The 20,935-nt window shown below is 39.0% G+C and overlaps 1 protein-coding gene across 4 annotated transcripts; it reads left to right on the top strand.

The window, feature by feature from the left end:
- PAGE3 (PAGE family member 3) lies at positions 13,948-20,449 on the top strand. Of its 4 annotated transcripts, none has more exons than NM_001303613.2 (5): positions 13,948-14,050; positions 14,953-15,044; positions 15,505-15,613; positions 18,205-18,330; positions 20,336-20,449. In NM_001303613.2, the coding sequence occupies exons 2-5, from the start codon at positions 14,961-14,963 to the stop codon at positions 20,356-20,358; spliced, it is 342 nt and encodes a 113-aa protein (NP_001290542.2). In that variant the 5' UTR covers positions 13,948-14,050; positions 14,953-14,960; the 3' UTR covers positions 20,359-20,449. The 4 variants fall into 4 exon arrangements, with proteins under 4 accessions (NP_001290542.2, XP_016884771.1, NP_001017931.3 ...); XM_017029282.3 differs by having other exon boundaries at positions 14,939-15,044; NM_001017931.3 differs by having other exon boundaries at positions 13,948-14,318.

Here is a 20,935-nt window from a genome sequence, read left to right as displayed (position 1 = left end):
AGAAACACAATCCCATTCACAATTGCCAAAAAAAGAATAAAATACCTAGGAATACAGCTAGCTAGGGAGGAGAAAAATCTCTTCTATGAGAACTACAAAAACACTGCTCGAATAAATTAGAGATGACACAAACAAATGGAAAAACATTCCATGTTCATGATAGGAAAAGCAATATTGTCAAAATGGCCAAACTGACCAAAGCAATTTATAGATTCAATGATATTCCTATTAAACCACCAATGACATTCTTCACAGATTTAGAAAAAAAACTATTTTCAAATTTATATGGGATGGTTGGCGGGGATCTGGCAAGATGGCCAAATAAGAACAGCTGCAGTCTGCAGCTCCCAGTGAGACTAACGCAGAAGGCAGGGGACTTCTGCATTTCCATCTGAGGTACCCAGTTCATCTCATTGAGACCGGTTAGGCAGTGGGTGCAGCCCTTGGAGGGTGAGCAGAAGCAGGGTGGGGCATCGCCTCACCCAGAAAGTGCAAGGAGCTGGGGTTCTTCCTCCCCCAGCCAAGGGAAGCCATGAGGGACTGTGCTATATGGTCCAGATACTATGCTTCTCCCACAGTTTTTGCAATCCACAGACCAGGAGATTCCCTCATGTGCCAACACCAGCAGGGCCCTGGGTTTCAAGCACAAAACTGAGTGGCTGTTTGGGCAGACACTGAGCTAGCTGCAGGAGTTTTATTTATTTATTTATTTATTTTAATTTCATACCCCAGTGGCACCTGGAACCCGTGTGACAGAACCCTTCACTACCCTGGAAAGGGGTCTGAAGCCAGGGAGCCAAGTAGTGTCACTGTCACTCAGCGGGTCCCACACCCACGGAGCCCAGCAAGCTATGAAACACTGGCTTGAATTTGTCACTGCTAGCACAGCAGTCTGAAGTCAATCTGGGATGATGGAGCTTGGTGGGGCAAGGGGCGTCCACTGACAGTGTTAAGGAGGCTGGGAAGTTCGGACTGGGTGTAACTCACCACAGGGCAGCAAAGCAGCTGTGGCCAGACTGCCTCTCTAGATTCTTCCTCACTGGGCAGGGCATCTGTGAAAGAAAGTCAACAGCCTCAGTCAGGGTCTTATAGATAAAACTCTCATCTCCCTGGGACAGAGCACCTGGGGGAAGGGGCGGCTGTGGGCACAGCTTCAGCGGACTTAAATGTTCTTGCCTGCTGGCTCTGAAGAGAGCAGTGCATCCTGAAAAGGTTTTTCCAGTGCAGCGCTCGAGCTCTGCTAAGGGACAGACTGCCTCCTCAAGTGGGTCCCTGAACCCCCTGCCTCCTAACTGGCAGAGACCTCCCAGCAGGGGTGGACAGACATCTCATACAGGAGTGCTCTGGCTGGCATCAGGCCGCTGCCCCTCTGGGACAAAGCTTCCAGAGGAAGGAGCAGGCAGCAGTCTTTGCTGTTCTGCAGCCTCTGCTGGTGATACCCAGGTAAATAGGGTCTTGAGCGGACCTCCAGAAAACTGCAGCAGACCTGCAGAAGAGGGGCCTGACTGTTAGAAGAAAAGCTAACAAACAGAAGGCAATAACATCAACACCAACAAAAAGGACCCCCGCACAAAAACCTCATCCAAGGGGAGGGAGAGCATTAGGACAAATACTTAATGCATGCGGAACCTAAAGCCGAGATGATGGGTTGATAGGTGCAGCAAACTACCATGGCATATGTATACCTATGTAACAAATCTGCACATTTTGCACATGTATGCCAGAACTTAAAGTAAAATAAAAAAGAAAAACAAAAAAGAACAGTGCCCAGTACATCACATTACAAGAAATGTTAAGAGACATCCTTCTTATAGAAGGAAAATAAAAACAGGTGGAAATTTTGATCTAAACAAAGGAATTAAGAGCACCAGAAATGGTAATAATGTTAAATATGTAAGATTATTTTCTTCTAATTAATGGTTGTACTCATGCATGTATGTTTCTGCACTTGTGTTTGTTTGTTTTTTTCAAAGTGAAAGCAAGTTTATTAACAAAGTAAAGGAATAAAAGAATGGCTACTCCATAGACAGCGCAGCCTCAAGGGCTGCTGTTGCCCATTTTTATGGTTATTTCTTGTTGATATGCTAAACAAGGGGTGGATTATTCATGCCTCCCCTTTTTAGACCATATAGGGTAACTTCCTGACATTGCCATGGCATTTGTAAACTATCATGGTGCCAATGGGAATGTAGCAGTGAGGACGACCAGATGTCACTCTCATTGCCATTTTGGTTTTGGTGGGTTTTGGCTGACTCCTTAACTGCAACCTGTTTTATCAGCAAGGTATTTATGACCTGTATTTTGTGCTGACTTCCTATCTCATCCTGTGACTTAGAATGCCTTAACTGTCTGGGAATGCAGCCTAGTAAGTTTCAGCCTCATTTCACCCAGCTCCTATTTAAAATGCAGTTGCTCTGGTTCACACACTGCTGATGGAGATTCATCTTCTGTAACTTCAGGATGAATAGGGGCTATGATATTCCTACCTAACTATGAGCGTTTCTTGCATTCAAGGTAGAGAGGAGCTCAGTCAGAAAGCTTCAGTATGGTAAGATCCATTCATAACTCTTGAGTTTTGACAAAAGGTAATATTTGGAAGATTAATAGGTGTTTAAGAAAACATTCAGTAAGCTTGTCCTGTATTCCTACACAAAGAATATACCAGCAATATATTCCACAGGAGTAAAGCAAAATAAGTAAAGTTATTCCAAGTACACTAAATTAGAAGGCTTTTCATGAACTGGGCAACTGTTGGAACTAAGCTGGTATGGGGTTGTTAGCTGATTGCAATGTACCCAGAATTAGAATACTGATCCAGATTTTTACATTACCCATCCCTCTTGTTTCTGCTGAGCAACAGTCAGAGATCACTGGTTGGTTCACAGGAATAAGTAGGGTTACCCTAAATTGCAGAAATAAACTTAATAACAACTGATGAGACTAGAATCTAATAAGTATAACATAGCTTTTGAAACATAATATTTCTCTCTCCAGTTTCTCATTTTTACTAAAGACAAATCATGGTAAGACAGATTTGCTTTATTATACTTGGCATGATTATTTGTATAAAGTGCAACAAGAATAATTATTTTTCACATAAGCTCTTTTTAAATTGGCATTGATGGAACTCTGTTCCATAGGAATTTCAGATAAGACTTTTTTAAAGCCGAGCCCAACCATGGGTTTCTACCCTTAAATACCTATGAGTTGGGTAATTTTTTCCTCCTGAGGTCCCAAGATAACTTTGGGCTTCTGGACCTGTCAGAAAGTGACATTCTTTACTCACCACCAGTCAGAAACCCTGCACAGGGACTGTTGTAGGCAAGGTATGAGGCCAGTTCCCCATGGGGCTTTTATTGGCTCTATAAGTCAAGTTTAATTCTCCAAAGGAAAACACACCATTCCAGTGAAAGCCTTGATAAAATAATCAATTTCTCCAACTGTGTCCTGTTACAAAAGAAAACAGATTCTTACTGTACTTATGCAAATAACTATACTGCCATAAGTTAAGAATACTCACAACTAGTTTCCAAATTCTGGCAAAATCAGGTAGAGAGAAACAAATATGCCCCAAATTTTGTTCGCAGGAGTATATTTTACTCAACTTCTAAAAGCTGTAAGTAGCTCAAAAGAAAAGTTTCCTTGACTCTGAAAAACAAAACAAAGGATCAGCAGCATTTTAAGCAAAGTTAAAATATTACTTCAGCTTTTTATTGGTTCAGTGAATTTAGTTAACTCCTGTTTTGGTTTTGCTTGATATTCATGAACATTTTAGCTCTTCATGAGAATTCTGAAAGTTGTTTCCTGTATTTTAATGTTACAATTTCCGAAGTTATCAGAAAGCTGCATTTAAGAACACCTGCTAGAGTTCTATAGTGGATTATAAACCACCTTCTAAAGAAAATTAAAACAAGACAACAATTTTCTGTGGCTAATAAAAAGTTTTAGGACAGCCACTAGTAAAGCCACAATTGATAAGGGAATTTGTTACCTCTGTGGCATACAGTGATTTTATGTAACAACTGTAATTATTAATAACATACACTAAGTCATATTAGAATTATAGGGGTTTCCCATAACTTTGGAACATATACCAATAACACATTTATACAAATTTAGTCCAAAGAAAGCAAAACACTATTTCACATTTGATAATGCTTCATGTATGAATATAAAATAAAAACATTTGTATAAAATATAAAATAAAAACATCCCTCCTTTTAAACAACCAGTCATTTTACTTTAGGACAAGAATTTACCATACAAGATCCTTTCTCATATAAAATAACTTTCTTTATAATCTTCTTTGTATAGCTAGAGGGCATGGCTAATTCCACATGTCCCGAGACCTTATCTAGAATCTAATGGCTTTGAGGTGGGTAAATTGATATATACCAAATAAGCCAAATTTCACCTTTACGTTAATGTACTAGTAACGTTAAATTCAATTTTTAATAAAACCTTATAGACATATTTTCCCAATTTCAATGTTTAACCATAAGGTAAGATTCTTATAAACCTTTTTATAACCCTTTACATTTTTTTGTGAAAGAGCAGATCAGTACTCTAAGAAAAACCTGTTGTACTTTTATTGCAATGTTTAATTTACAGAAAAACTGAATAATACCCCTTTAACTTTAGCCAATATATTCACACACAGAATCCCTTAAAATTAATTTTTATAAACCTTCCACAACTTGTTTAAATCTTTAGACTTTTTTCTTACTTAAAACAATCCTTTAACACTTTAGGCAGAAAAAATTCCACATTCCCATGACTTCTTACAATCTTTCACCAAAATCACATTTTACTTTCTTTACACACCTTGCATGTAAAATTGTTTCTTCAGTAGTCTCAACTATATGTTACAATGTTAACTCTTAGCAACTTCTATTTTTGGTAAAAACCTTGGTCAATTTGACATTTTAATTATGTACTAGGTGTGGAGCCTAGCCTAGGACACACCAGGCAGAAGAGCAGATAAAAGCTGGGTCTCCAGCATAGCTAGGGGATGTGGCTAAATCCACATGTCCCCAGGCCTTACCCTACTTAAGCTGGCAAGTCCTAGAGTAAGAGTCTGCCTGGTGCAGTGGCTCACAGCTGTAATCTCAGCACTTTGGGAGGCTGAGGCAGGCTGATCACCTGAGGTCAGGAGCTCAAGATCAGCCTGGCCAACATGCTGAAACCCCGTCTCTACTAAAAATACAAAAATTAGCCTGGTGTGGTGGCCAGTGCCTGTAATCCCAGCTACTTGGGAGGCTGAGGTAGGAGAATCGCCCAAACCCAGGAGGCGGAGGCCACAGTGAGCCTTTAATCCTAGCTACTTGGGAGGCTGAGGCAGGAGAATTGCCTGAACTCGGGAGGTGGAGGCCACAGTCAGCCAAGATCATGCCATTGCATTCTAGCCTGGGTGACGAGAGCAAAACTCCCTCTCAAAAAAAAAGGAGCCACAGTGGCATTTTTTGAAGCATTTACGAGGCCTAACAACCTTTGAATTTTACATTTCTGCATAAATTCCCTTTCACAAATCCTTTCACGACTTACATAGACCATCTGAGACATTTTCGGACATTCTGACTTGCTCCAAACATCCCTCCTTTTAAACAACCAGTCATTTTACTTTAGGACAAGAATTTACCATACAAGATCTTTTCTCACATAAAATAACTTTCTTTATAATCTTCTTTGTATAGCTAGAGGGCATGGCTAATTCCACATGCCCCGAGGCCTTATCTAGAATCTAATGGCTTTCAGGTAGGTAAGTTGAACAATTATTAAAAGTTAAAGAAGCAGTTTAGGACCTTAAAGCATTTAACGAACTTAATATCTGACATGCATAATTTACATTAAAGGTTTTTATTTTACCAATAATTTTTAAAGCTGCTTTTATTTCCCGAAGATTACTAAAGTTACATAAACTAAAAGGCATTACACTTTTTTTATTATACTTTAAGTTTTAGAGTACATGTGCACAATGTGCAGGTTAGTTACATATGTATACATGTGCCATGCTGCTGTGCTGCACCCATTAACTCGTCATTTAACATTAGGTATATCTCCTAATGCTATCCCTCCCCCTTCCCCCCACCCCACAACAGGCCCCAGTCTGTGATGTTCCCCTCCCTGTGTCCATGTGTCCTCATTGTTCAATTCCCACATATGAGTGAGAACATGCGGTGTTTGGTTTTTTGTCCTTGCGATAGTTTGCTGAGAATGATGATTTCCAGCTTCATCCATGTCCCTACAAAGGACATGAACTCATCACTTTTTATGGCTGCATGGTATTCCATGGTGTATATGTGCCACATTTTCTTAATCCAGTCTATCATTGTTGGACATTTGGGTTGGTTCCAAGTCTTTGCTATTGTGAATAGTACCGCAATAAACATACGTGTGCATGTGTCTTTATAGCAGCATGTTTTATAATCCTTTGGGTATATACCCAGTAATGGGATGGCTCGGTCAAATGGTATTTCTAGTTCTAGATCCCTGAGGAATCACCACACTGACTTCCACAATGGTTGCACTAGTTTCCAGTCCCACCAACAGTGTAAAAGTGTTCCTATTTCTCCACATCCTCTCCAGCACCTGTTGTTTCCTGACTTTTTAATGATTGCCATTCTAACTGGTGTGAGATGGTATCTCATTGTGGTTTTGATTTGCATTTCTCTGATGGCCATTTTTTCATGTGTCTTCTGGCTGCATAAATGTCTTCTTTTGAGAAGTGTCTGTTCATATCCCTCACCCACTTTTTGATGAGGTCGTTTTTTTCTTATAAATTTGTTTGAGTTTATTGTAGATTCTGGATATTAGCCCTTTGTCAGATGAGTAGATTGCAAAAATTTTCTCCCATTCTGTAGGTTGCCTGTTCACTCTGATGGTAGTTTCTTTTGCTGCGCAGAAGCTCCTGAGTTTAATTAGATCCCATTTGTCAATTTTGGCTTTTGTTGCCATTGCTTTTGGTGTTTTAGTCATGAAGTCCTTGCCCATGCCTATGTCCTGAATGGTATTGCCTAGGTTTTCTTCTAGGGTTTTTATGGTTTTAGGTCTAACATTTAAGTCTTTAATCCATCTTGAATTAATTTTTGTATAAGGTGTAAGGAAGGGATCCAGTTTCAGCTTTCTACATATGGCTAGCCAGTTTTCCCAGCACCATTTATTAAATAGGGAATCCTTTCCCCATTGCTTGTTTTTCTCAGGTTTGTCAAAGATCAGATAGTTGCAGATATGCAGAATTATTTCTGAGGGCTCTGTTCTGTTCCATTGGTCCATATCTCTGTTTTGGTACCAGTACCATGCTGTTTTGGTTACTGTAGCCTTGTAGTATAGCTTGAAGTCAAGTAGCATGATGCCTCCAGCTTTGTTCTTTTGGCTTAGGATTGACTTGGCAATGTGGGCTCTTTTTTGGTTCCATATGAACTTTAAAGTAGTTTTTTCCAATTCTGTGAAGAAAGTCATTGGTAGCTTGATGGGGATGGTATTGAATCTAAAAATTACCTTGGGCAGTATGGCCATTTTCATGATATTGATTCTTCCTACCTGTCAGCATGGAATGTTCCTCCATTTGTTTGTAGCCTCTTTTATTTCATTGAGCAGTGGTTTGTAGTTCTCCTTGAAGAGGTCCTTCACATCCCTTGTAAGTTGGATTCCTAGGTATTTTATTCTCTTTGAAGCAATGATGAATGGGAGTTCACTCATGATTTGGCTCTCTGTTTGTCTGTTATTGGTGTACAGGAGTGCTTCTGATTTTTGCACATTGATTTTGTATCCTGAGACTTTGCTGAAGTTGCCTATCAGCTTAAGGAGATTTTGGGCTGAGATGATGGGGTTTTCTAGATATACAATCATGTCATCTGCAAACAGGGACATGATTTCCTAATTGAATACCCTTTATTTCCTTCTCCTGCCTGATTGCCCTGGCCAGAATTTCCAACACTATGTTGAATAGGAGTGGTGAGAGAGGGCATCCCTGTCTTGTGCCAGTTTTCAAAGGGAATGCTTCCAGTTTTTGCCCTTTCAGTATGATATTGGCTGTAGGTTTGTCATAGATAGCTCTTATTATTTTGAGATATGTCACATCACTACCTAATTCATTGAGAGTTTTTAGCATGAAGTGTTGTTGAATTTTGTCAAAGGCCTTTTCTGCATCTATTGAGATAATCATATGGTTTTTGTCCTTGGTTCTGTTTATAGGCTGGATTACATTTATTGATTTGCATATGTTGAACCAGCCTTGCATCCCAGGGATGAAGCCCACTTGATCATGGTAGATAAGCTTTTTGATGTGCTGCTGGATTCGGTTTGCCAGTATTTTATTGAGGATTTTTGCATCAATGCTACACTTCTCTTCTCACTTCATTTCACTCATTTGATCTTCCATCGCTGATACCCTTTCTTCCAGTTGATTGACTCGGCTACTGAGGCTTGTGCATTCATCACATAGTTCTTGTGCCGTGGTTTTCAGCTCCATCAGGTCCTTTAAGTACTTCTCTGCATTGGTTATTCTAGTTAGCCATTTGTCTAATTTTTTTTCAAGGTTTTTAACTTCTTTGCCATGGGTTCAAACTTCCTCCTTTAGCTCAGAGTAGTTTGATCTTCTGAAGCCTTCTTCTCTCAACTCATCAAAGTCATTCTCCATCCAGCTTTGTTCCGTTGCTGGTGAGGAGCTGCCTTCCTTTGGAGGAGGAGAGGCGCTCTGATTTTTAGAGTTTCCGGTTTTTCTGCTCTGTTTTTTTCCCCACCTTTGTGGTTTTATCTACCTTTGGTCTTTGATGATGGTGACATACAGATGGGGTCTTGGTGTGGATGTCCTTTCTGTTTGTTAGTTTTCCTTCAAACAGTCAGGACCCTCAGCTGCAGGTCTGTTGGAGTTTGCTGGAGGTCCACTCCAGACCCTGTTTGCCTAGGTATCAGCAGCGGAGGCTGCAGAACAGCAGATATTGGTGAACAGCAAATGTTGCTGCCTGTTCGTTCCTCTGGAAGTTTAGTCTCAGAGGAGTACCCAGCCATGTGAGGTGTCCGTCTGCCCCTACTCTACGGTGCCTCCCAGTTAGGCTACGCGGGGGTCAGGGACCCACTTGAGGAGGCAGTCTGTCCATTCTGAGATCTCCAGCTGCATGCTGGGAGAACCAGTACTCTCTTCAAAGCTGTCAGACAGGGACATTTAAGTCTGTAGAGGTTTCTGCTGCCTTTTGTTTAGCTATGCCCTGGCCCCAGAGGTGGAGTCTACAGAGGCAGGCAGACCTCCTTGAGGTCCTGTGGGCTCCACCCAGTTCGAGCTTCCCGGCAGCTTTATTTACCTACTCAAGCCTTGGCAATGGCTGGTGCCCCTCCCCCAGCCTCACTGCCACCTTGCAGTTTGATCTCAGATTGCTGTGCTAGCAATGAGCGAGGCTCCGTGGGGGTAGGACCCTCCAAGCCATGCACGGGATATAATCTCCTGGTGTGCCATTTGCTAAGACTATTGGAAAAGTGCAGTATTAGGGTGGAAGTGACCCGATTTTCCAGGTGCTGTCTGTCTCCCCTTTCTTTGACTAGGAAAGGGAATTACCTGACCCCTTGTACTTTCCGGGTGAGGCAATGCCTCACCCTGCTTCAGCTCACGCTCAGTGCACTGCACCCACTGTCCTGCACCCACTGTCCGACACTCCCCAGTGAGATGAACCCGGTACCTCAGTTGGAAATGCAGAAATCACCTGTCTTCTGTGTCGCTCACGCTGGGAGCTGTAGACTGGAGCTGTTCCTATTCGGCCATCTTGGTTCCTCCCCGTGGCATTACACTTTCTATTTTGCTTTTAAAATATTTTATTTAAGTGCTTATTTTTGTTTAAGTCAATTAGTTAGAGCTCTTTTATATAAACATTACACACAACACTTATATAGCTACACAGAAAGACAGAAGACGATTACTACAGTAGTTGTAAGGTTTTTCATTTGCCAGTTTTTAAGTTTCTTAATTGGATTACTGGCTTTAGCGTGTAGCCCTTGGAAGAACAGGGCCAGGAAAGGGGTCTCTGGTGCCTCCTGTTTTTCCCAAGGAGTCTTGGCTGTTAGAGCTTGAACATCTGCTTTTAGCACGTTTTGATAAAGTCCTTTTAGTATTTCTTATGCCAAACCGCCAATATTTCTGGTTTTTGAATTTCTCCCAGGTGCTTAGAGAAAGGAAAATTTAAGACAGTCCATGGAGGAGAACATAATTGACAAACTTACACAACATTAAACCAGAAACGACTTACTTCCTAGGTGAGGAATACGAACTCGGACCACCACTGCGAAAGTCCCATACCTTAGCTAGTGAGCTACAGCTCACAGTAGTCTTCAGCTTCTTTCCCAGAAGGAGTCTAGAGCAGTTAATTTTGAGCTTGCAAAGGCTTTTAACTATTCAATATGGTTTTTAGAGCTAACTATGACATGAACCTAAAATTCCTGGTCCCTGAATGTGGAGACCAAACAAAAGTATGGCCACGTGGTTAAAAGGTCAAGCTCCCAAGGACATAAAACAACGTGAATACTTAATCTGGGTTTTTTGTTTGTTTGTTTCAGGGACCCGCAGCCAAGGTAGTTACTGACCAGCTTTCTGGATCATCTTGAAAAACAGGTTTACAGGTGTTCTAAGCCCATGTTTTATCCTGAAGTATCCCTCGACACAGAAAAACGAATTCATAGCACAAAACACACCAGCTTAAGACTAGTCTTAGAATTCTTTTTCACATTAATCAAAACTTTACAGAGGAGATAAACACTAGCTTGTTTCTTTAATTCATTCAACCATTTACACAGAGAAAGAGAAGCCAGAAATCTGACTGGTAAGAAATTCTTACCCTTTTGTCGGCATGCCAGGCTTCTGGGTTCCCTTTCCCTGAGCGGCCCTAGTGATCCGGCTTGTGGCACCATCGCCCTGGGGGCCAAGCTGCATCATAAAGGAAAATTATTTTTTTTCATTCTGGCTGGAGCAAACTACATGTGATAGAACATAGACATTAGCCACTCTGCTTAGCACCCAATATCAAACTGGCAAGGCTTAAATTTGCCCCCAGATGGGCTCCATCATCTTTAATCCAACCTCTGACTTGGAGTTTCAACACGTGGTCTCTGGGCAAGATGGTCACCCTGAATAATAGAAAAGATAAGAAAGGGGGCCGGGTGCAGTGGCTCATGCCAGTAATCCCAGCACTTTGGGAGGCCGAGGTGGGCAGATCACAAGGTCAAGAGATGGAGACCATCCTGGCCAACATGGTGAAAGCCCCGTCTCTACTAAAAAAAAAAAAAAAAAACTTAGCTGGGCATGGTGGCACGCACCTGTAGTCCCAGCTACTAGGGAGGCTGAGGCAGAAGAATCACTTGAACCCGGGAGGCAGAGGTTGCAATGAGCCAAGATCATGCCACTGCACTCCAGCCTAGCGACAGAGTGAGACTCCGTCAAATAAATAAATAAATAATAAGAAAGGGAAAGGGAAAGGAAAAGTAGAGAAGGAAAGTATTGCCTGTGGTAGGGTGGGGAAGGCAAAATGATCAGGGAGGCCAGAGAAAGACCCACCCATTGCAGCGACATTGAAAAGTTCAGGCGGCTACTGTCAGTCAGGCAGGGATCTTTTTCAAGCAGTCCCATCAGCTCTCAAGTTTCCCCTTTTGGAGGAGGAAAAAGCTCCCCATGTCCCTTAATCCTGCACATGCCTAATCCTGTCATCTACAGCCATCAGCAAAGAGTGCAAGGCAGATTAATCCAAAGAGAATAGCAGTTAACATCCTATAGTGCCGAACCTGTTCTTAGCTGAGAGGGACTTTACCAAGAGGGGCCTCTAACTCCCTAAATCTTAGAAGGGACTCTAACCCTCCTAAGTTGGGCCTGTAACCCAAGGTCAGTCAAGTGTCCTTGCCTTTTATTAAGAGGGGCCTCTAATCCACTCTGTCTTAGGAGAGACTATAACTCCCCTAAGTTGGGCCTCTAACCCAATCCCATCCTTTAGCCTGCTCCCCTGCCACTTACCCAAAGTCATCCAATCAGTGCTGCAGTCTATTTCCTTTGGATTGGGGAGGTTTCTTCAGTATTGTCCTTTTTGTGGTTCACGAGAAAGATGTTACCGGACCCCACCACTTACCCAAAGTTAGCCTTTGGGTTGGGGGTTTCCGCAGTATAATCACTTCGGTGGTCACCAGAGAGATGTTACAGGACCCCAACACTTACCCAAAGGTAGCCATTGGGTCAGGGTTTCTTCACTATAGTCCCTTCTGTGGTGGCCAGAAATATGTCCCAGGAAAGGGGACCCGACCCCATGTCCCAAGAGAGGGTTCTTGGATCTCACACAAGAAAGAATTTCAGGGCGAGTCCGCAGTGCAAAGTGAAAGCAAGTTTACTAAGAAAGTAAAGGAATAAAATAATGGCTACACCATAGACAGAGCAGCTGCACTTGTCTGATTAGTGGTTGTACTCATGTATATATGTTTCTGCACTTGTCTGATTCTGCCTAAAAACTTTCTCTTTACTTTAGAAGATCAGTTTATCAATTTCTCCAAAAAGAACACCCTCTGGGATTTTGATTGGAATTGCTTTGAATCTATAGCTCAATTTGGGGAAACTGTATCTTAAGCATATTGACTCTTTTGATTCATGAACAAGATATATCTCTTAATTTTATTTGGGTCTGAAATTTTCACTCAGCCATCTTTTGTACTTTTCAATATGTTATAGGTCTTGAATTTCCTTATTCAGATTCATCCCTTAGCAGTTAATATTCTTCGATACTATAATGCATACTATTAAAAATGCCAATCCAAGTTTGTATTGCTGATGCACAAAAATACAATTAAATTTTGTATATCGATTTTTAATTCTGCAACTCACTTGTTTCTAGTAACTGTTTTATAGATTCTATCAGATTTTCTACACGAAAGATTATGTTATCTATGAGTCATACAGTTTTACTTCTTCCTTTTCAATCTGGATGCCTTTTATTTCATTTCTTGTCTCATTGCACTAACTAGATTCACCAGGACAGTGCTGAAGAGAAGTGAGTAGGGCTGATATCCTGGCCCTTTTCCTTATCTGTGTGTGTGTGTGTGTGTGTGTGTGTGTGTATTATATATATATATAACATTGTGTGAAAAATTGATTCACACAATTATGAAGACTGGGTCCCACAGTCTGCCATTTACAAGCTAGCAGGAGACCAGAAACCAGTGATGTACTTCAATTCAGATCCGAAGGCCTGAGAACTAGGGAAGCAGATGGTGTAAATCCCAGCTTGAGGGCAGGAGATGTGGACTGAACATAAATATATGTGTGTAAACATGTATGTTTGTACGTGTGTGTGTGTAGGCTATGTGTATATCCTAAATGCAGTTCTGATGATTTCTATTTTATTTTATTGTGTTTCTTTAAAATGCTGTTCGTTGCTCATTACATTAAAGATGCAAATTACATTTCATCAACAACTATGTATTTTGTGGTAACCCTAGTGGCCCATATCAAATATGTCCTTTTTGTCTAAAAACAATGCATCTTTAAAGGTTCACATTAAACTTCAGATAACAGTGTTTGTTTTTCAAAAGGCAAGAGTTAGTTAATACAAACTAGACCTCAGGAAAAAGGATCAACAGGTACAGGTGCCCTCTTGTTCACTTGCCATCCTGTGTAAGGCTGTCCTTGGGCTGGGCCTGGGGTGCAGTTAAATGTCATGTATTTATGATCCCTCTTCCCTCTATTTATGAGGGAAGTGTGAGAGTTGTATTGGGCATGATAGTTAATTTGACCTCGAGCCTCAGGGACCCTTACTTTAGATGTCAAAAAGTTTAGGAAGGAAAAGTAAAAGAGCTGTGCAAGCCCCTTTCAATACTCAAGAAACCTTGTGGCTCCTAGTCAACAGAGGCAAGAAAACCTCAGCCTACGTAACACAAGCTGCATCCCTATGCATGTCCGTTGCTGGGCATGTCCATTATTGCGCATGTGCCTTGCTGTCTGCTGTCTGCTGTCTGCTGTCTGCGCTCAGAGCTCTGCCCTGAGAGGTGGTCCTCCTGTCCTCTTCATTCTTTCTCACTGACTGGGACTCAGCTGGTAGGTCCGCAGATCAGTCCTCCTGGGAATTTAGTTGTGAGTGAATGTGAAGGGGAGCCAGCGGGCTTTGGACAGGTCCTGCGGCACAGAAACCACAGTCCGTGGCTTCTGAGAGAAAAGGGCCTCGCCGTCGACGTCCGGCTCCTCCCAGGTCGCGACGCCCCATGGGCCTTTGTCGTCGTTTCTGGGCCAGGACGACGGAGGAAGGTGGACCGTAGAGGGGAGGAATCACGTGAAGATGGGGCGAGTGCTGGGCGTGCTGTTGGAGGTATCTGAGTGCCGAAAGGCCTGGAACCCTGAGAGGGAGGACAGATTCCCCAGTTCTTAACCGGGCAGTGGCAGGGCGAGGTGGGCAGTAAGGAAGGGGCCTGGAAACTAGGAACACTGCGGGCTGATAACCGCTGCCCCGAGGTCTGTAGAGCGCTCCACGGTGGCAGAGAGTGAGGAGCATGCCCTTCACTCGGCTTTGCAACTTCACACCTCCGCCACTGACATCTCGGGCAGGAATGGGAGAGGCTGTGCGTTCCAATAAAACTTGATTTTAGGGGGTAAATGGGCTGAGTAAATGAGAGTGGGGCAAAAGCAGTAGTCACTCCGGTTCCAATTCTCTACCTATATTTTCCTAGATATCTTCATGATGGAGAGTCTAATTGTGAAACCAAAACTCACAGAGAAGTCCTCTATCTTGCCATGAGCCTTGCCTGCTACCATAGCCATAACATTAATGACTTTGCAAGCAGCCATATTTGGCTAAATTAGATGATACCTAAAAATTTTTGAAAACATCTTAAAATTAAGTCCCAGGGTAATCGTGAGCTTGCATGCTTTCCAATTTAGCCATGGAAAAGGTCAAATGATACACTCTTATGTACATTTTCTGAATCACAGTATGCCACTTTCAGAGTGAAACATGAGTGGACATCAAAGAACAAGATCCAGATCTAGAGAAAGAAGAGATGATCAAGACTCTAATCATCCAGTAGGGGCTGTGGTTGTGAGTATTTTAACATTTGATATTTTCTATTAGAAACTTATTTTTGTGAAAATGTTGTTGAACTAATATTGATATATTAATAAGGTTTTCCATGCTTGTAAATGGTAATAATTGAATCTCGTGAAGTAAACATAGATTTGGATGTTTGCATTCTAATGTTGCCTGGATGGCTATGTTTTTATATTCCCCAGAAATATTCTCTATGGCTTCCTTCTCCTGCTTATTCATAACACATTGTATACATCAATTCCAGCCTGGATTCAAATAGCTTCCCAAGTTTTTAAGGGTAACTTTCTCTTGTAGTAACTATTAAGAATAAGTATATGTAGAATTGTGTAGGAAAAAAATGTCTTTAGACTTATTTATGGTAAGATATATTTGTATATTGAGTATATGTATATTATTGACATGCATTATTAATAACAGACCTTTTTATTTGCACACGCACTCATATTCCTAGGCCCAGGAGCTGCCCAGTAATGACCAGCTTCAACAAGAGGAACCACCAATTGAAAGTCAGGATTATACACCTGGTCAAGAGAGAGACGAGGGAGCACTGGACTTCCAAGGTGAAGCGTGGGAGAGGAAGAATGCCTATGAATGGAGGGGGTGTATGTATATATCATGTATTATGATATGGAAGTAAAAGGAGGAAAAAAGCAATAGAAAGAGATCTCAAACATTTCCTGAAAATTGGCTGGAAAAGTGAAGAAGGCATAGTTTACAGCCAAGGGCAGTCCCTTAGTATAATGCATTCGACCTTCAAGACTTACTTGTTATGCTTGCCAGAGCATTTCATTAGCAAATCCAGGGAAACTATGTTTAATTTTACTCCAAATTGTATACTATTTCACTAGTTAAACTTGATCTTAGAATATTGTCTGTCCTTCTTAGTAATTATATTAAAAGTTTAAGCAACTTTTAATAGCATGCGTAGAGTGCTAAGGCATTATACATATATTATAGATCACATATATATATTATATATATGTATATATATCTCATATCCACACTAATTCACACTTTGGATTAAACTAGCTTGCATCGAGATATAAATCTATATATGGTATGTGATATATATATTACATATATATATATATATATATATATATATATCATATGTAACACCTTGGATTAAATGAGCTTGCATAGAAATATAAATCCCACTTGATAAGTAAGAAAACTGAGACTCAGAGATTGTGTCTTACCAAAGGGCACTTCACTGGTGGAGAAATAATTTGTATATTATTCCAAAGTATGTATTCTTCTTACCATCTAGATTGCTGTAAGAAAAAGTGAATGATTTTGCTTAAACTGTTTAATACTAAAATGTCTATACTGTGAGATAGCTCAGTACTGGCATTGGAATAGACCCAATTCAGTGGAACAGAATGTGATTCCAGAGAATGACTCAATGAATGATAGCCACTGTTTACTTTGATTGAAATTTGTGTATGGAAAGTTTAGTTAATAGCTGAACAATTCAGGATATTGGCATATAGGTAGCTGGTTCAGTATAATTTTTAAGTGGTTTTAAAAGGTGGTTAAATCCTCTTATGGCTAGAAACATCAAAAGGTTATGTACCTACGATTATCATGAAACAATTAGTTCTTCCAGGTATGGCATTTTGGAGCAAAATATTTACATAGCTCAAGCCATAGATTATTTTAGCAATTCACTATTGAAAGAGTCCCAGAATTATGATGACAATAATACCCATTAAATTCTTTCCATTCCACTTCCCATTATTCTTGCTGGAAGTCAACGATTTTGCTGTATTCACAAATAATTTTGCTGTTGTTTTTACAACTTCATTATATATGGAATTCATTTATGGAAAGTAACATATAAGACCTTTGGACCTAAAAGTAACTTTATTTTAACAAAATAAGTTTCTTGTTACCCCAATAGGTTATGGGTGTCATGACTATAAGATATGTCATACGCTTACAAATCCATTCAGCTAATTCTTCATAAAATTATATTTTAAATGTAATTTAAATCTTATCCATGGTGTAAAGTTCTGATTTCCTGGATGGCTGATGTTTATTCCCCTTACAGCACTATGGTAAAATATAAGGACGGCACATGTTTTGTGGTTTGTCCTTATAATGTCATTTAAAATGGAGGTTTTTGTAATGCAGGAAAACAAATACATGAAGTCCAATCCATCTACAGCCATACCACCCTGAATGCACCCAGTCTTGTCTGAAGTCCAATCCTAGTTGCTGTTAATGTTGTCAAAAATAACTCTTGTCTTCCTGAACTCCAACATAGTTGTCATTTATTCTTTTTTATTTTTAATTTATGTTTTGTAAAAATATAAAATTTACAGAAAAGTTGCAAGATTATTATAATCAACTCATATGCTTTTCACCTAGATTAACTAATGTTTAGAGTTTTGCCACATTGATTTCATACCCACTATTCTATTATATAGCCATATTCTCTTGGATAACCCCTGTATGTTTATTAAATTTGGGGAATTCAACAATGAAAAATGCAGTTGTTTAATATATAGCTTATATTCAAATTTCCCCAGTTGTCCTAATAATTTCCCTTATAGTTTTTTTTCTGATTCCAGGATCATGCATTACATATAGTTGTCAATCCTATTTAATCTTTTTTAATCTGGACCAGTTCTTCACTCTTTCTTCGTCTTTCATGACACTGGTATTTTTTAAGAGAATGGACCAGTTGTTTTGCAGAGCGTTCATCAGTATAGGCTGTATTTTTAAATACTTTTTTTTCACTCAACACTTATTCACAGTGACTCATGCCATGCAATATGTAGGCTTTAGGGATGTAAATACTAATGAAAGAGATGATTTCAGCCTTGAGCTCACAATCTAGTTAGACAGACTCAAATGAATCACTAATTTGAAATGATAAGTACAATAACATATACCTACAGAGGGTTCAACTAATCTGTCTGGGGCAGTTGTGGGAAAAGAAAAGGGTGATAATATTTGGAAAATTTTGTTTTCTTTTTCTGGTAAGAGTCCTGAAATAATGTTCTTGAAATTCTTATGCATTGCGTGTATTACCACACTAGCCTATAGGCTTTTATTTCATAACATTGAGGGAGTGAATATTATCATTCTTTTATTTATATTTTATGTTTTACAACTTAAATTGGTAATGTTTTTTATTTTTAAGTGCTAGGCCTGGCAGCCTATCTCTGGGAACTGACTCGGTCAAAGACTGGGGGTGAACGTGGAGATGGTCCTAATGTCAAGGGAGAATTTCTGCCAAATCTGGAGCCTGTTAAAATACCAGAAGCAGGTAAGTTATTCATTAAAAATGCAAATTATGGGGTTTCTGTTTTCAAAAATACTATATATTTTATAATATAGAGGTACCACTACTGCTAATATAATTTAACAGAGTTCATATATAAAGATTCTTTGAAAGATAGTTCAGTCCCCAAAAGCCTGACTAATAAACAAGCACCATCATAGATCCTACCACATTGGGTCAAAGCCACATTCAATTATAAAATGTGAAGGTATTTTCTTACTTTTTAGTATCAGTTCCTAAACCAACAGCTAGTAATATCAGATACTTTTATAAAGGTCTGCTTTTAATAAATACCTAATGAATTTGTAACAGATATTCACTGTATGAAACATGCTGAGGCAATTAAGTAGGCTCTAATCCAAGCTCTAACAAAATTTCACTGACTTTGGGCAAATTCCTTATCTTCTAAACCCATATTTGCTCTTATAAAAATGGGTCAAAATCAAATATATTAAAATTTGAGTAATCAACTTAAGTACGTTTTACACATGTTTTTTCCAAACTTCTAGGCATTAGTTATATGAGCTTCTGAATTTAATATAAACACTTAGTGTTTAGGAAAGAAATTATCTTGCATTAGTCTACTGCTTTTGCTCTACATTCCTGATCCATTCCATTAGAATATTTAGATTAAAAATATTTTTCAGGCTATGTTCAGGAACCTATTCAACATATACTCATAGGAAGATCATTGCTTTAAATACATGTTATTAAAAAATAAAAATATAAAATTATATGAGCATTCAATATAAAAAATAAGAAAAAGGCACAAGATAAACATAAGGGAGAAGGAAAAATATACTTAATAAAAGACAGGTATAAGTCTTTATTTAAGGGAAATAATTCAACTAGTAAATAAAAGAGATTTTCAACATATCTATGAATAGAGGATCCCCTAGTTTACATAATGTTGAAGAAAATGGGCAAAGCTCAAGTATACACAATAAAAAATAGGAACAAGACAGGACAGATATTGAATGTGTAATATAATTAAAAGTGGATACATTCTTGAGCTCTAAACAATTTTCAAAATTTGATGCAATGTTTGATATGCTAGCAAAACATAAAATCATTTACTATACCACAGTAGTAAATGAATATTTAAACATCATAACATGGATGAACTTTTAAAACTTGCCAGAATTTTCCATCAAAAGTATTTATCATTTAGAAACAAAAAAAAAAGCTATTGTTTGTTTATTTGTATTTGGCTTTTCTAGATTCCTCAGTCTCTTCTCTTTCTCTCTCTCCTCCTCTCCCTCTCCTTCTGATCCCCGTTTTGCCAAATTGTGAGAATCATTACTATTTCTTTTTAACACTTCATCTATAATAATAATGGCTTGCAACCAGTGTGACGATATAATTTATTGGACAAACTGGAATATTTTTAACTGTGCAAAGAGGCATTATTGATAATTATACTAGAACCACAGGTGAAAACAGAGACAAATGGTTAACCTACTTAAAACAACCATATAAAGAGTAAACTAATCAAAAACATTTTAGCATTTTCCCATAACAGAAACAAAACAAATATAATACTAGCCTTTCTATTTATGCCACTTAAGCACTTTCAAATGTGTCATTACTGTTTGAGCTATCCTATATTCAAAACATTATTTCAAATTTCTTTTGTTTCCTAAGTTTTATGTTTGCTTATGTTTGGTTAGTTGGATTTTTTTTTTCTAAAATTACATGCAGTTTTTAGTTTCTAGTTAAAACTTTCTTTAAATAGGTTCATTTGATCAAATCATTTCGAACTCAAACTCTTTCTTATACACTAGAAAAATGAGTGGGATTTTAAAATATTGTTAATATACCTGAAAGCCTACCTTCAAAGTCTCTATAGCGGTTTAACTGGATATAAGCCAGAGGGTTACCTTGTTATAGTTCATTTCATAAAACCAAAACTATGCCTTTTTTCAACCCGTAGTGTCATCATAAAAAGTTCTGCTAAAAAATACTCTCAACTATTATGTTTATCTTATAGGTGAAGGGCAACCATCGGTTTAAATGAAGACAAGCTGAAACCATACATGCAGTCTTTATGTTGGAAACTTCACCAGTAAAATTCTCTCAATAAAGTTTCACAATTGTCTGCAAAGAAGTCTTGTGCAACTTATGTCAAACTAGGAATAATTAGGTGTTTCATGCTATTGAAAATTGTATCTTTTTTGAAAATTTATATTTTGTTTGAGCTGGTATATAGAGATATAATTTTATGTATTGATTTTTCTCTCCAGAAACCTTGCTAAATATGCTTATTAATTCCAAAAGTTTCTCTCTAGGTCCTTTTTGATTGTCAACATATACAATCATGCCATCTGTGAGTAATAATACTTTTCAGTCTGCCTTTTAAAGTATGTTACTCTTCATTTCCTTAATTCATTTTATGACATTGGACAGACTCATCCAGTACAATGTGGAATTGAACTGGTGATAGTGGACACCCTCATCTTATTCCTGATAAGAAATGGAAAATATTCAACATTTTACCATGATTTACTGTAGATTTTACTTGCAGATATGCTTTATCAGAAGTTCCTTCTATTTCTAGTTTCCTGAGAGTATTCTTCTTGGATATATGTTG

The sequence above is a fragment of the Homo sapiens genome, chromosome X (genome assembly GCF_000001405.40).
Source record: "Homo sapiens chromosome X, GRCh38.p14 Primary Assembly".
Taxonomy (NCBI): Eukaryota; Metazoa; Chordata; class Mammalia; order Primates; family Hominidae; genus Homo; species Homo sapiens.
This window is presented reverse-complemented; position numbering and strand designations above follow the sequence as displayed.